The 16722-nt window shown below is 36.8% G+C and overlaps 1 protein-coding gene across 14 annotated transcripts in view; it reads right to left on the bottom strand.

Moving 5' to 3' along the window:
• Window positions 1–16722, bottom strand: part of AKAP6 (A-kinase anchoring protein 6) — a 508387-nt gene that overhangs the window by 155205 nt on the left and 336460 nt on the right. For all 14 annotated transcript variants that reach the window (XM_047431969.1, XM_047431966.1, XM_024449755.2 and 11 more), the window contains one exon: window positions 4021–4169. In XM_047431969.1, coding sequence (XP_047287925.1) covers window positions 4021–4169 — 149 coding nt within the window. The remainder of the gene's footprint in view (window positions 1–4020; window positions 4170–16722) is intronic.

Genomic DNA, 16722 nt, shown 5'->3' with positions numbered 1-16722 from the left:
TTCATTTACTGGGTACCTAGCACTTGCCAGGCACTGCGCCAGATGCTGGAGAGAGTGCAGTGAACATGAAAGATGCAGCCCTGCCTGCGAGAGCTCATCCTGTTTGCTCTAAGTTCCCTAGCATTCTCTATTTCCCCTTCTCTCTCACTGCACAGATCAGTATCGGCTTCATGCCACACTCTCTTGCTAGACTGTAAATTCAATGAAGGCAGAGACTGTGGTATGTCTTTGTAGGTGCTCAATATGTGTTTTTCAGGTTAAATTGAGAAGCACTTCTGCCGACCTAGCCCTCTTTCAAAAACCATCTCCAGAGCCCTCTCTCTCTGCTGTCTTTCCTGACCTGCTCTAATTCTACTTGACACAGTCAGAATTGAGCTCTGCCTTCAATGAGCCCTCCCCTCTTCCCTACACATATTTCTAACTTGACACTTAAAATCCTTTACTCCACGCTGTTTACAGAGATCTGGTTCCTCCTAACAAACTGTGAGCTTCTGAAATGTAGGAACCATTTCATTTCCACCATTTTAATCTCTGCACTTCATAGAGCCTGACATATAGAAGGTACTTTAAAATGTTTGTCAAATTCAGCCTGGGCAACATGGTGAAACCTTGTCTCCACTAAAAGTACAAAAAATCAGCTGGGCATGGTGCCCCACCCCAGTAGTCCCAGTGACTCAGGAGGCTGAGGTGGGAGAATCACCTGAGCCAAGAAGCTGTGGCTGCAGTGAGCCAAGATCATGTCACTGCACTCCAGTCTGGGCAATGGGAATGAGACCCTATCTCAAAAAAAAAAAAAAAAAAATTTGTCAAATTAATGAATGAGTTAATTTTGTTTTGATTTAAACCTGCTCTGCAATGTTTTGCCCAAACTTCTGTGTGGTTTTAATGAACTCTACTTAAGACTTCCATTTCTCCATAGTAGGAAGATACCTTAGTTCAAATTTCATACAGTATGGAATATGCACAACACCAGATTTGGGGGAAAAGCTTATTAAGAGTCCAGATAAATCCTTACAGAGAGGGCAAAGAGTGACTTTATAGATTACCTTCTGCATTCTTGACCCAGAGTGCTGAGTCGAGGTCTTAGCTCCACTTTAAACTTTCTATCTTTGCCTCTCAGTTCTCTCCTTTACACAGACTGAAGAAAAGACATGGTTTTTAATCTACACTGAGTTCTGACATCAAGAATGATACTACTTAGCAAATTAAACTGAATCTTTGAAATTCATTAGAAAAATAAAGTCAGATAACCTCTCAATAGGAAAAGGTATCTGAAAAAGAGATGGTTATACTTTACAAAATATACAGAAAGTAATTGTTCTTGATAAACTATGCTCAGAGCATCATGCCATGCACATAGTAGGCCCTCAATGAATATTTATTGGATGAAAAAAAGGCAACTGATAAGTGCTTTCACCTAAATTGAAAAGCACTGACTTTTGCTACTGTTGATAATCACCGGAGACTCACACACTGCAGGTCCCTCCAGGAGCTATGGTTCCACTTTGGGATGCTGGAGCCAGTGCCAACTGTTCCCCACAGGTGAACAAACTCTGTTACTAGAACTCATACAGCCTCACATACGTTCAGGGAAAATCTTCCTATCACATATATTCATAACTGCTAACCACACAATTCATAGTTGTATACTATATAAGCTGTGATGTATCACCTTGATAACATACCTTTTTGTCAGGCTAAAGAGGTTATATATTCATTTCTAAAAGTTATTTTGGTTACATAAAATTCTCAGAAACTTAAGATCACCATTCAGTGTAGCAGCTCAGTCTTCCCTGGAGTAGTCTGATTCATTTTTCAGCTACATTAGTACATATAATCTTTTTAGCATGCTTGTAGGCATGAGAAGGAAATAAAATGATACGAATTGTATCACCAACTTAATTTTCTCTTTAGTGTATTGGATATATGCATGTGGAATGAAGATCCTTGAAAGCCCACACCATTCCCACAATTACTTATTGGAAACAATGTTCATTCTATGTAACAAAAAGAATGATTAATGAAGTTTATGTATCATTGGAGCAGATAATTTTACAAAGCTACTTTCTTAAGGCTTTAGAATTAAGGATTTGACTGTGGGAACAGACAGTTTTAAGGGCAGGACACCCCAGATAACCTCACTCACATGCATTTCTCAAACAATGCTTTTCTGTATGTAAACAGAAAATAGAAAGGAGTATATGGTTTTTGTCCTTAGTATTAAATAGCTGGCTTTCTTTCAGTGCACTCTTAAATTTCTGCACAATGCACAGCCTTCAGCACCCCAAGGAGCATAAACAAAGGATATCAGGCAAGTTCACCTACTCCCACTTCACAGAACAATGCTTGTTGTTAACTAAGCAATTCCCAGGGCAGATTTATGATTTGTGGAGCCCAGAGTGAGTGCTCAGATTGGGTCCCTGGAATCTGGGGTCAGAAGCACGTGGTACTGCTCAAACCCCAGGGCTTTTACAAAACATGAAAATGTGACCTAAAGTTTGTGCTTGCATGTACACCAGAGGCTATTTAGGCATTTAGAGAAATTAAAGCACATTAAGGCCTCAAAGCAGTTTATTGTTCATGCTTCAAGATTTAACCTTTTCTTTCTTATTTGCTGCTATGTTTTTCCTCTGGTGAATAAATGACTACTGAATCAAGTAAGATGAATTGACTACATATATAATATGTCTCATGTATTAAAATATACTGATGGAGCAACAAGTTATAGAAATAGGTAAATGTGAAAACTTGAAAACTCCCTTTTCATTTCCTAAACAGAATTATGACTCTCAATTATGACTCTGAATGACTAAGAATACAGGAGTTATTTCCTATATTCTTAGACAATGGGTTTTTACAATAAGAAAGAATTTTTCATCAGTGTACTTAATTTATCCCAAAACTTTATATGAGGATTGTAGTTCCAGTCAGAACTATAAGCACTTTAAAAAAATAAATGCAAACCAGTGCATGAAAAGGCCTCTTTCCTCTTGTCACTTTAAGAAATATTTTGGCTAGAGTTACATCCCATAGGTTTATATAATGTTATTAACATGTAATGTAACTTTGGGGAATAGTTTCTCCTTTGTGCTGTCTGGTACAAGTCTAAAAGTAAAATAGGTTACTGTTTCCATTTTTATGAGCATAACTATTATCAAATTATTAATACTCTGAAATAATTCAATTTCATCACTACCCTTTTACTCTCTAAAATCACCTATTAAATATTACAATTGGGCTGGAAAAAAGAAAAAATATATACACTTTTTAAAAATATACATATATACACACATATATTTAGCTTTGTAAAATTATCTGCTCCAATGATATAAATACACATATATTTAGACAACGTTCACATAATTTTAAAAGTCATTTGGAATTATCTAAATATGTGACTTGACTGTTCAATAGTATGAATAGTTAGTATAATATAAATACAGCTGTATGTCTCAGGCTGAATGAAATTGTTGATGGGTCACTGAAGGTGTTGGGTCCTTTCACATACCATAGATAATGCAAGAGCTAGTCTATTCCAATTGACTTCATGTGAAGCTAAGTGGCTAGCCCATGGTCTCTAAACAATTATTAAATTTCTACACTATTCAGGAAAATTATGTTCTTCTAAGTTTCCAAAATGGTTCTGGTGTTTAAAAGTCCTTAAATAGGCTTTAAAATAAAATTGTGAAACCTAAAAAAGAGCAAATACAAGGAAAAAATTTATAAAGAAGACAGATCAATACTAAAGGCACATCGTAGTCACAAAAACACTTATAAAATCACAACGCTGTATTTTAAAAATTAATAATGAGTCAGAAAGTTCTGGGTTAGATGGCAGAGGCTGATGAAATCCACAGTCTTCAATTCTGGCACAAATGGAAAAGAACATTAATGCCTAGTCTACTGAGCTTCTCCTTGTCGGTTTGCTAAAGAGGAAATACCTTCCTAACACCTACCAGTGGAAAATCATTGAAAAAATAGATTAGTGAGAATAAAACAACAAAAAGAATAGTTCCCTACCCATTGCTTCCCACTGAATGAACTTTTGACATATCAGCAAACTCTTCCTTTCGCTTGCTGCTGCTGGTATACTGCTCGCTGTACAGCTTGAGGGACATCTGCTCAACAGCATCTCTTTGTGCTTCCAGGTAGCATAGTTGAACCTCAGCCTGGAAAGAGAAACAAAGAGAAATTGCTGTTTTAATCCAGAAGGAATGCATTTCAAGTGAGGTGTAACAACTCAAAGAATGGGAATTCTTCACATCATTATAGTGCTCCTTTTCGAGTTGGATTTAATGGGATCAGTTGGGCATATTACAGAATTATATTTTAGATCTGAATCTTATAAGTTCCTCCTTAAAATATGACCTGAATAAATGAACCCTCAGAAGACTCTGTAAATATCACAAAATATCCCTGAGATCATAATACTGTATGATAAGACTTTACATAAAAATTCTGTGAAATTCCTTAATAATGTTCTTCCTTATGTTGTCACATATGTAGCACTTATTTTTTAAAAATCCCCCTCCAACCCACACATTTGCATGGACACATATTCTAAATATTTTTCTACTATTTTCCCTATGGAGAATAAAAAAGCCTAGTGTTAATTCTAATACCTCTTCAACAATCACAATAGACTTTACTACATTTTTTGGTTGTCTGTGTTACTGTCTTAATAATTTTAAAGTAATGCAAACAGTGATTTTATTTACATGCAGGTTTGAATTGTTACATCTTTCATACTTAGGGCTCACTGTAGTAAAGGAGAGGTAGTAAGTTCACCATGCTGTTTTCTATCAAACCAAGGCCAAAAGAATGCTGAATAATATTTGGCATGAAACTGTATTGAATAGATGCTTTATTTATTGCAGCTGTTGTGATTCCTGTGGCTTTCAGGTTCCCTAGAACATCAGATGAGACCGAGAATGATATCTTCTCAGGGACATGCTTGGCCATAGTAAAGGGAAAGGAGCAATGCTGAGTTCATGTACATTGTAGACCAAAGGACTCTTCTTTTGTGTGCTTCACTAAATCCAAGCATGCCCATTAACATTTCTGATAAACCTTGAAATCTCTACTTTACAATTTTATTATATATTCTAGGAAGAACATTTCTGGGTCAGCTGTTGAGTAGTCGCCAGAATTCCATAACACGTAAGAAGAAAAGTTGGGCCAGATGTGACCTTCTACTCTTAGTATCCACAGCTGACCAAGGCCTTTTGCCTGATCTCTAGTTTTATAGCCTCGACTACGGAGAAAAAGTGAATATTATAAAGTGGCAGCTGCTTAAATTCCAAATTAGGACTCTATAAAGGAAATGGGTAGCCTATGAAAAATGAGGTCTTGCAGGCCGGGTGCGGTGATGCATGCCTGCAATCCCAGCACTTTGGGAGGCTGAGGTGGGTGGATCACTTTAGGTCAGGAGTTTGAGACCAGCCTGGCCAACATGGCGAAACCCCGTCTCTACTAAAAATACAAAAATTACCCGGGCGCATGCCTGTAGTCCCAGCTACTTGGGAGGCTGAGGCAGGAGAATCACTTGTACCTGGGAGAAGGAAGTTGCAGTGAGCCAAGATTGCATGACTGCACTTCAGCCTGGGCAACAAAGTGAGACGCTTTCTCAATTTAAAAAAAGAAAAGAAAAAAAGAAAAATGAGGTCTCAAACCATTCCAGAATTCCTATGTTGTTGCTTTTTATAAGTACTTAATTATGAATGCTCTGGTTTGCTGAGAAAGAACTTAAAGAAACACTGCTAAAATAACTATAGTTATATAATTGAAGTTTCAGGAATCAGATCAAAACTGCAATCTATTTGTTGGTTCATGTGAACTGTTCTTGCCCAAACTAATTGACTTGAATAAGAAGACACTCAATTGGATTAAGAACTATGTCAAACACTATAAACAAAGGATAATGTCATATGGAGTACATTCAGCTGGGAGTAGGGGGTATGGCTGGTGGGAAGGCACAAAGAAAACGCTAGATCTAGTGATGTTAGTATCTTTATTGATGATGTGGAAGAGGAGGTATGCAGAATGTTAACAGCACATATAGAAGACTGCCAACTAAGAGGTTTGCAAACATCATGAAACCTGAAAGAATAATAACTACTGATGTAATAATATTTTATTTTTAAAAGGATAAAACTAAATGTAAAGAGTCAACAATCAGAAACACAACAGAAAAAATCTTTTAAAAGAACATACAAATTTTTATGAGAAAATTGAGATTACAGAGATATTGAGCAATAGTCAAAGAACAATACTCCTCTCAAATGCCACCCCTTTACTTCCACTGCAAAGCCACAAAGTTTAACGAGTATTATACCCACACTAAGTATTCCACTGACCCAATTAGAATAATGCATTTGTGCCATTAGGTACCAAGGGACGTGTTTGATATCTAAGGGTTCCTGTTAGTTTTTAGCCATCCTAAGTCACAAGCTTGATCATGATTCATTCTGGGTAATGACCTCACAAATGTGTGCCACTGGTCACAAAAACAATCCTAACGAGAGAAGTCAACTTCATCTAGACTCAACACCATTACAGAAAAATAATCTGCATTCATCTCTGTAATTCTCAGCCATTTCTGTGTACAAAGAGATATACTTCACATATGACAGGGATATGTGAAAAGAAGTTCAGAGAACAAAGCTGAGAGTAACTCGAAAAATAGTCACCTTACAAAATGATTGAAATGTTATAATCTATGACTTTTACTGCATAATATCTCACAAGCATTTGTCAAAGGAAACTTCCCTGCACTAACAAGGAGATGAATTAGATGGCCCAGGTCTTTCTTATCCATCTCTATTTCTATTTCTGTTTTCAGTGATTCATTCCCAAATGAGATGATAAAAATAGAACCAAAGTAGTTCCTCCTACTAAGGTTGAATGGCTTTGCCAGTCTAAATCTTTCTGCAGACTATCTTAACTTTTTATCAGACTATATTTTAGTCCAAAGATAAATTTTTAAGAGAAAGAGTTGAAGAAAATTTAGTTCTTTAAAAACAGTAACAATCTCTGGTTAAAAAAAATTATTAGCATCTATAACAATGGATACTTTAAAAAGTGACTATATTTTACACATGGAAACTTAGCATGATTAAATAATATTTAAGATGCACCATCAAAATACTTTGGCAACTTACTCATTAAATAGGGGGTTGGGGAAGAAGACTCGGTGATGGAATCCCCTCTTCCCTTCTAGGTCACTAAAAGACCCATGATGCCATCAATAGGAGTAGGAATATAGGAAGAGCAATTCAAGTGGATGGGAGAAATCGGCTGGATTTATATGAGTCTATTAATTTAAGGTACTGGTGGGATGCTCAGAATGAGATATTCAGCAAGCAAGTGGAAATATTAGTACTGAAATACAAACCTACAGGCAACGGTTGCCATTAGGAGATGAAGTGTGAATGCCATGGGAGAGAGCTGACAATGAGAAGAGAAAAAAGATCAGTTTTCACTTACTGTAGTCTAGGCCTTCATTACCACTGGCTCACCCAGTATAATGGATTATCAGTCATTCTCCCTCCCAAAATTCATTTTATTTATTGTTCAATGATCTTTTTGAATGACAGTTGACATCACTGGTGTGTTGTTGTTTGTGGGCTCAATTCTGGGCCACTTTTCTCTATCTATACTCTCTTCCATGGCTTTAAATGCCAACTAAGTAGTAACGCCTTCCAATCCTCTTCTCTAAGCTGCATACTTATATATCCAACCAATCACCTCCAATCACCTGACATCGCTACTTGGGTTTCTTTAGACCTTACTATTTAAAACAGAACCCTTCATTCTCATCCTTACCACATCCCCCAAACCTTTCTGTACTTAGGCCTTTAAATAAAATAAAACCTTTCGTTTTAAACAAATGGTACTGTCTATTGCTCATGTCAGAAACCTGAGAGTCATTCTTGACTCTTCCTCTTCTTCATTTCCTTTAGCAGGTTATTCCCTAAGTTGTTGACTCCTCTTCTAAAATGTCTCTGCAGTCTCCTTCTCCAATCTGCACTGCTTCCAGCCTACTCCAAGCTTTCATAATCTTTCACCTGCAGTACAGCAAATATCTTCTAACACGTATCTCCCTTCGCTCATTCTTAGACCTCTAATCTCTTCTCTTATAGTGGCCAAAGTAGTCTTTATAAAACATGAGCTGGTTTTAGACTGCATTCAGACCTAAAAAACAAAATTCTACCCATGGCCTAGGATATTTGGTTCCTGCTGACCTTAGGCCACGTTTCCTACCAGTCTCCCTCTTGATCACCATGCCCCTGTCATCCTTGCCTTATTTCAACACTTTAAACATTCTAGTTCTTTAAACAGCCCTTTCTTGCCTCAGGACCTTTGCACGTATTGTTCCCTTTCACTGGAACATTGTCTTGCTAATGTCTTCTCATCTTTCCAGCTCTCAGCTGATATGCTACTTCTCAGAGAGGCCTTGCCTAACTTATCAAAAGTAGATCCACTCTATTTTTCCTCTATTTCATATCCAGATTAATTTCCTTCATAACACATATCAAAATTTAAAATTCTTGCATTTGCTGGTTTACATTTTTTTCTGTCTCTTTTTCTAGACCCCAAACTCCATAAAGGATTGTTTCTGTCTCCTTTGCCATTTTGCATTCCCAGTACCCTGGCAATATCTGGAACATGACAGGGGCTCAGTAAATAATTGCTCAGTGGATGAGTTGTACATTCTTGCATTCATCCATTTATTATTATTATTTTGAGATGGAGTCTCACTCTACTGCCCAAGCTGGAGTGCAGTGACACAATCGTGGCTCACTGCAACCTCCACCTCCCAGGTTCAAGCGAATCTCCTACCTCAGCCTCCCAAGTAGCTGGGATTACAGGTGCCTGCTGCCACACCCAGCTAATTTTTGTATTTTTAGTAGAGATGGGGTTTCACCATGTTGGCCAGGCTGGTCTTGAACTCCTGGGCTCAGATGATCCACCTGCCTCAGCCTCCCAAAGTGCTGGGATTACAGGCATGAGCCACCACACCCAGCTGCATTCATCCATTTATTACTCATATGTTTACTGAGACTTTCTCATATCTCAAGAACTGTACCAAGAACTGTGGGAACAAGGAAGAAGAAAACTTAGTTACTTCTCCTGAGGCACCGCAGTGTGGTAGAAGAGAGAGCCATGCCAACAGATAACTACAAGTGTCCAAGTGAAATTATTGTAGGGAAGGATGAGAAATAAAAATAATTTATTGTTTGAAGGTGGGGGTTGGGGGTATGGAGCAGAGGCTTGACAGAAGTGGCATTGGAGCCAAAACTGAGATAATGGGTCTGACCTTGTCAGGTGAAGAAACAGATAGATATCTTCATAGACAGAGTAACTCATTTGTTCAGGGGCGCAGAGTTGTGAAAGGATGTGGCATGTTCAGAGAATGGTGGCTGGAGCTTTGGGGCATTTGGATATAGAGGCTAAAGTGGATAGACGATGGAGGATGCCAGGTTAGAAAATTTGTATGCTATCTTGGCCACAATGAAGTGCCAGCGGAAGCTATTGTCATTTCTGTGATGGCCTTAATCTTCCTCTATCTCTCTTTTTCTGTCATGACAAGATAGTCGCCTAATGGATTAGTCCAAATATGCTGGTATAGCTCCTACTGGCTGGTGTACTTGGAGAAAGTTGCATCAAGAAGTTGAATCAGCAGTTCCTATCAGGCTGGATGCCCACCATACCAAATAGTGGGAATGCCTAAGAGATTCTAGTAACTAGTACCTCTGGTAAACTTTTAACATAATATTATGGACTGAATTATGTCCCCTCACCCCCAAATTCCTATGTTGAAGCCCTAACCCCCAATGTGACTATATTTGGAGATAGAATCTTTAAGAAGGCAATAAAGGTTAAACGAGGTCACAAGGGTGGGGGTCCCAATCCAATAGAATTGGTGTCCTTGTAAGAAGAGGAAGAGATACCAGAAGTGTGCATGCACAGAGGAACAGCCATATGAGAACACAGCAAGAAGGTGGCCATCTGTGAGCCAAGGAGAGAGGCTTCACCTGAAATCAAACCTGCAGACACCTCAATCTTGGACTTCCAGCCTCCAGAACTGTGAGAAATAATTTCTGCTGTTTAGCCACCCAGTCTGTGGTATTTTGTTATGGCAGCCTAATCATGTTAGAAATGCTGCCTTCTCATCTGAGATTTAATACAATTGCTTTGCTATTTATCAATAACAGCATGTTTCCCCCCTTTATTTTGTATGCATTTAGCACCTAAATCACTAGAGATACTCCTTTTCAAATTCAGACTACAAATTAATACTTAATAATTTAATAAGGACACAAAATGCAGTTTGCTAAAATATTTTATGGAAATTTGGCTCGGTATGTGGTGACCCAAATTCAATGCCTGGATCATTACTCAGTCATATACTTCCCTCTGATCTTGTGTGTGTAACTAATAATAATATAGTGTATAACACATTTGGGGGAGGAAATTTCAGTCAATCTAATCAACTCGAAGGATTAAACACATAAGCACTTTTATAATCACATATAGACCTAATGCTTTATCTTTGTCATAAAAAGCAATTTTTAGTTTGCTTTTTGCTAATTTGACTGATTTATCACTTCACGTCCCAGAATTCTTTGTTGGGTTAAGCATCCTGAAAATATTAAAATCCATTTTACTTTTTCTTAACTCATACCATTGTAGATCTCCCTGTTCACTCATACTAGACTTCGTAGTTCTCACCACCTCTACTACTGCCTATCTGCATCTGGGTGCACGTCCTCTGCTATTCCTTCTGTTTCTACAGAAGCTGTCCATATTTCTAAGGCTAATCCCTTGCATTTTGGTACCAGACTTCCCTGACCTACACAAAGATGATCACCCCCCAAAATTGCCTTTCTTTCCTGCATCAAGTTTTTTCTTCTCTACTGTATTATTCCTATTGCACATTAGCCCAAAAAATGCCGTTGTTTTTCCATCGGTAAAAAAAAAAAATAGAGAGAAAAAGAAAAATAATCCATTGCCGCCAATCTATCTTCTAGTCATTTTTCCATTTCTCTGTTCTCCATTATAGCAAAACCATTTTTACTTGAATTGTTTATACTTGCTGTTTACAACAAACCTCCTCTTTCTCTCTTGAACACACCCCAATCAGATTTTGGTCCACATTCCTCATGCAGTGGTCAGTCCTTGGTCCTCAACCTAGTCTAGCCTGCTTCAGCAGGGCTGGTGGGTGTGCTCTCGGGGCATTTGCTTGTGTTTGCACGACAGCTCAGTCCCTCACTTCTCTCAAGTCTTTGCTGAGATAACCTCTTGCATCCAAGTCTTCCCTGACCTGCTACTTAAAACTACAACTCACCCCCACCCCTAGAAATCCCTATCCTCTTTCCTACATACTTATCACATGTAGCTGAACATGTCACTTTTTTTTATATTGTCCATCTTCCCTCAGTGAATTGAAAGCTCCATGAGGGCAGGAGGTTTTGTTTATGTGTTTACTGCTTTATCCCTAGCACCCAGCACAGCATATGTGATAAGACACTCAATACAAATTGAATAAATTTTACTGAGTTTGAACATCTAAAATGATTTCAAATGTACAAAGAAATAAAACAGTTAGTTTGAAGGCTGAAGCCTCAGCTTCATTTTAAAAATTGTTGGCTTTATTCTCCCTTAAGAAGGAGACTTTTTTCTTTGACAGAAAATAAAATAATTGAAATATAGAACTTGTTTACTATTCTTCCCAGGGAAAAAAAAAAGAAGAAAAAAAAGCTTCTTTAATTCATGAGCCATTTGGGCTTTTGGAGGAGACACCAACAATGGCAGAGTTTGTATTTGGAAGAGTCCACACTAGCTCAAGATCACAGGGATCCTTCAATATAATGGGAGGAAACCCTACTTTTTTGGTAATAATTTTGTTACTGGGGACATTTTCCTTCTTTTACTACACAATCTTTTTTACCTTCAATGCAGTATATCTAAGCACCTGTCTTTTCCTTTGCTTCCTTACAAAAATACTTACTATGTTTCCCTTCTTTCCTCCTAATAGTATCCCCTTTAGCAACTAGTCCAGAATGCTTCCTTCTTCTGGAAAGACCTTCAGGTCTCAAGACCCTCATGGACCCTCCCAAGGACTTCCAGGGTTGATTAGAATCTACACTTGGTGATATGGTTTGGCTGTGTCCCCACCTAAATCTCATCTTGAATTGTAGTTCCCATAATCCCCATGTGTCATGGGAGGGACCCAGTGGGATGTAATTTAATCCTGGGGGCATTTACCCTCCTGCTATTCTTGTGATAGTTTTCATGAGATCTGACAGTTTTATAAGGGGCTTTGTGATAGTTTTCATGAGATCTGACAGTTTTATAAGGGGCTTTTTTTTTTTTTTTTTGAGACAGAGTCTCACTCTGTCACTCAGGCCGCTGTACAGTGGCAAGATCTTGGCTCATTGCAACCTCAGCCTCCTGGGATCAAGCGATTCTCCTGCCTCAGCCTCCCCAGTAGCTGGGATTACAGGCATCCGCCACCATACCCAGCTAAGTTTTGTATTTTTAATAGAGACAGGATTTCACCATGTTGGCCAGGCTGGTCTCAAACTCCTGACCTCAAGTGATCTGCCCATCTCAGCCTCCCAAACCGCTGGGATTACAGGGGTGAGCCACCATGCCCACCTATGTTTTCCCCTTTTGCTCGGCACTTCTTCTTGCTGCCGCCATGTGAAGAAGGATGTGTTTACTTTCCTTTCTGCCATGATTGTAAGTTTCCTGAGGCCTCCCCAGCCATGCAGAACTGTGAGTCAATTAAACCTCTTTCCTTCATAAATTATTCAGTCTTGGGTATGTCTATTAGCAGCGTGAGAATGGATGAATACACTTGGAAATATCTACTCTTTTGTTTGGCAGAGTGCCCATACTCATTCCAGGATTTAGAATTATTACCTTTCCACTGCTTTTTTCTAAGATCATGTTTATTTTGTGTGTTTTTGCTTTTGTTGTCATTGTTGGTGGTTCATAATTTCCTAAAATAACTCACCTTATTCTAAGTGCACTTCCTTTGTCCAGAAACAAACTCTCTACAGGCATTTATTCACATACCATGATTAGCTACATTCTAGCTAAATACAAATAACATTTGGTATTACAATGAATGAGAATCTCATGTTGTTCTTCTAGTCCTGCATGGATGCCAAAGCTTCCTTCTACAGAATCAGAGCAGGGAGTCATAGGACTAAAGGAGCAATGTATTTATTTGGAGTAAAGTTGATTCAGGCCCTTCATTTATTCATTCAACAAATACATCTTGAGTGTCTCTTAGGGGTAAGACATTGTGCATGATACAAACAAATCTGGATCAGACACAGTATCAACCCTCAGGGAATGTATAACCTAGAATCACAGAAAAACTATACTACATAATAGTAGCTCAAATATTCATTCAAGGGTAAGACCAATATTATACTTCAAAGATATTGCCAAAGAAAGACTTACTAAGTTTGTTGGAATGTTATTTTAATTATTGTATAAGAGAGTTCTAAAAGTATTAAAAAATGTAAATATCTTCCCTTGTCAAAAATTAAGTATATATCAAAAATTTAATAATATCAAAGTTATTTCAATATTATTACTCAGCAAAGACCACTGCATATACTAATCTTTGTAGGTTAGGATATAAAACTAATCATAAAACTGATCATAAAACTATTATCAGAAGACTAATCATAATCACAAAACTAATCATAAAACTGATCATATTGGCAGTTCCAAAAAAACCTAGCCTTAGGTTCTCAAGGTTTATTTACAAATCTCATGTCTAATAAAGTCAGGACAACTGCAAAAGATAAATGATTTAAGTAAAAAATAATACATTACTTTAAAAATTCATTTTTATTTCTATTGACCTGTTGTTTGCAAATTATTAGAAACATTCACTATAATGTTTAGGAAATTCAATTTTAAAGCTGTTTCCTTAATGATATTTGTTAAATGGTAAACATTTAAACACAAAGTTGAGAAATTAACATTAACACCATTTCCATTATTTCTTCTTTTTGTGCATAAAGAAAAACATCCTTTCCTCCATTTTAATGACAGATGAGATGTTTATTAAAAGTAACAGCAACAAAACACCTCCACCTAACAAACATGAAGAACAAATATATCAAACAAACATATCAAACTATTGCATTTGTGAAGAGCTTTTATCTACTACCACCCTCTCCTTTTTGTAATGCCTGTAGTTAAAAATCATTAAAAATTCCGCATTTTATGTCATGAGCTAGGGTGGGAAGGGAGTGCAAATATACTGTGTGGACTGAAGACGATGATTAGAATTTTTGATGTCACTCCATTACTGTTTCCTTAGCAAATCTCTGCACAATGACATAGGCATCCTCTGTTTATATTCTATGGCAGCATCCTTACTCCCATCTTCTAAATTCCTCTACAGCAAATCCTTATTTACTTTCTGGTAGAAACTAAACATCAAAGATGTATAATAGGAAGATACAATCTTAGTTTCTCTTGCCCTGTAGAACTGGCACTTCCTTCCTAAGTACAATTATGCTGGCAAACACTGCTATTAACTCTATGACTGCAAGACATGCACACTAGTTCCTCTGAAATTCTATAAAATAGTTGTCCTTAAATGGTGATAGAGAGAAAAGAATGAAGCAGGAACAACAAGAATTACTTTACATACTAATAATAACAATTTATTTATCAAAACAGAACCAAACAAGTGTGCCTTTATACTGTTCTTTTAAAAATTTAGCCTCCTAGGGTTCTAATAATCAGGACCTATGGTTCAGGAATGCACAGTAGCACTCAGCTCAGTGCCTATATCCTCATTTCAAAGAGAATCATTCAAACCGACACCCACCCTGTCAAGAATCTCGACTTTGAGCTGCTAATGTAGAATAAAAATCAATATAAATTTTGATCATTTGATGAATATTTACTTCTTTCTTTAGTATTTGGGGATTTAGAATTGAAAAGTGCTGAATCAAGTCATTTTATTTTTTTGTGTTTGTGCCAACACCAATTTACTACCCTCCAGAAAGTTCCTGAACAAGATGTCTCAGGTGGCATGCATGTTGGTTTTTCCTGTCAATCATAACAGTGTGTCAGTAGGGAACCATAATCATTTCCCTTTCATACTCTTAGTGTTCCAAAAAGGAATATTTTGATTACTCCCTTGGAAAAGGTAAACTTTCTCATTTAGACACACTATTGTAAACCTGGGTGTCTGTTGTTTTTGGCATTCAGCTGAGCCTAAATTGATACAATCTATTAAAAGTTAAACACTCCATTTTAGGCTCCGAGGGTCATGCACGATAAACAGAATTTATAAATGGGTTCCTCTACAAGCAAATTTCAGTATTACCCTCAAAACAAAGAGCTTTTATAGAAGCTGCTATATTTCTCCATGCATTTTCTGAAAAATAACAAGAAAATATCAACTGACTGCTTATATAGCAGAAAGACATCACAATAAAAAGACTTCACTTTTTATTATAAATGAAAAGAAAATGCACTATAGACAAATGACATTAAAAAAGCTTAGCAATTAAAATATGATTCCTGTGTAAGGCTAGTTACATGAGTAGAGGAGCATACCACCATTTTCATTATAATTTGATATCTGTAGCAAAAGATTACTATTCTTACAAAATAATTCCATAGTGATTTTTAAAATGATGGTCTTTTCCAATTTGAAAAAAAGCCTAAATTAATTGCAAGCACCAAAAATGTAAGATATCCTCATTAAAAAATCTTATATATGACATAGTGGCATAAGACTCTATATTAAGGATGCATTTTTGATGGTTCCTTATAAATTAAATAAAAATGACAGCAGCTGCCTTTCTCAAGAATGATATACCCCTGGATAATCACTAGATATTATGTAGACAGATGTTTTAAATAAAATAAAGTATTTAGATTGCTAGATATGAAGGCAATTATAGGATGTCTTTGTTAAATTACATTTTTCATTTTTGTGAGAGGGGAAAAAAAGAATTGTCCTGGAAACAGTACCAACAGGAAATGATCCTATATCTAAAACAGCTGGAGACTGTAACTAATATAAATTTACTTGAAAATAAAAATGCTGTGTGCCTCTGGAGACATGCAGTAACATGCCATAAAAACAGATGAGAATATAAAAATATTTAAAAAGGAGAAAATACATTTTATCGAGATATTATACTGAGATGTGAGCCACTGATAAATGACAAACATATAAAGATGAAGAAAAGACAGAAAAATCAGATTAGCCATTTTAAAACTTATAATAGATATTTTATTTAAAACTATATTTGTAGAAAATATCAAAAATATTTTTCTTAGCAAAACCCTTTGCTTTTTAATATATTGGTTATTAACCAATTTACTGAAGTCATAATAATAATGTAAAGGCAAATAATTGTGTTTACTTAAAATTCTAATGGAAGCAGAAGATGCGTACTATGAGTAAGTTAAGGGCCTTAAATGTTAGATAAGAATATTCTAGTAATTCTCAAAGTCATATGTAACAGCCTCCACACAAAGGCTCCCCACTACATGTGTCCATCTCCACCTATCCCCATTCTTGTTAGCTGCTGAATTGGAAAGATATCTGATATACTAATTCATACCAAATATACACAGGCATTAACATCTTGCAGTGTTATGATATATACTGGTTTTCATCCAGAGCTCCTGGCTTCTAACTCCCATAGCCATTCCTTGGTT

The sequence above is a fragment of the Homo sapiens genome, chromosome 14, assembly GCF_000001405.40.
Source record: "Homo sapiens chromosome 14, GRCh38.p14 Primary Assembly".
Taxonomy (NCBI): Eukaryota; Metazoa; Chordata; class Mammalia; order Primates; family Hominidae; genus Homo; species Homo sapiens.
The sequence above is the reverse complement of the archived record's forward strand: the minus strand, read 5'-3'. Positions and strand labels throughout refer to the sequence as shown.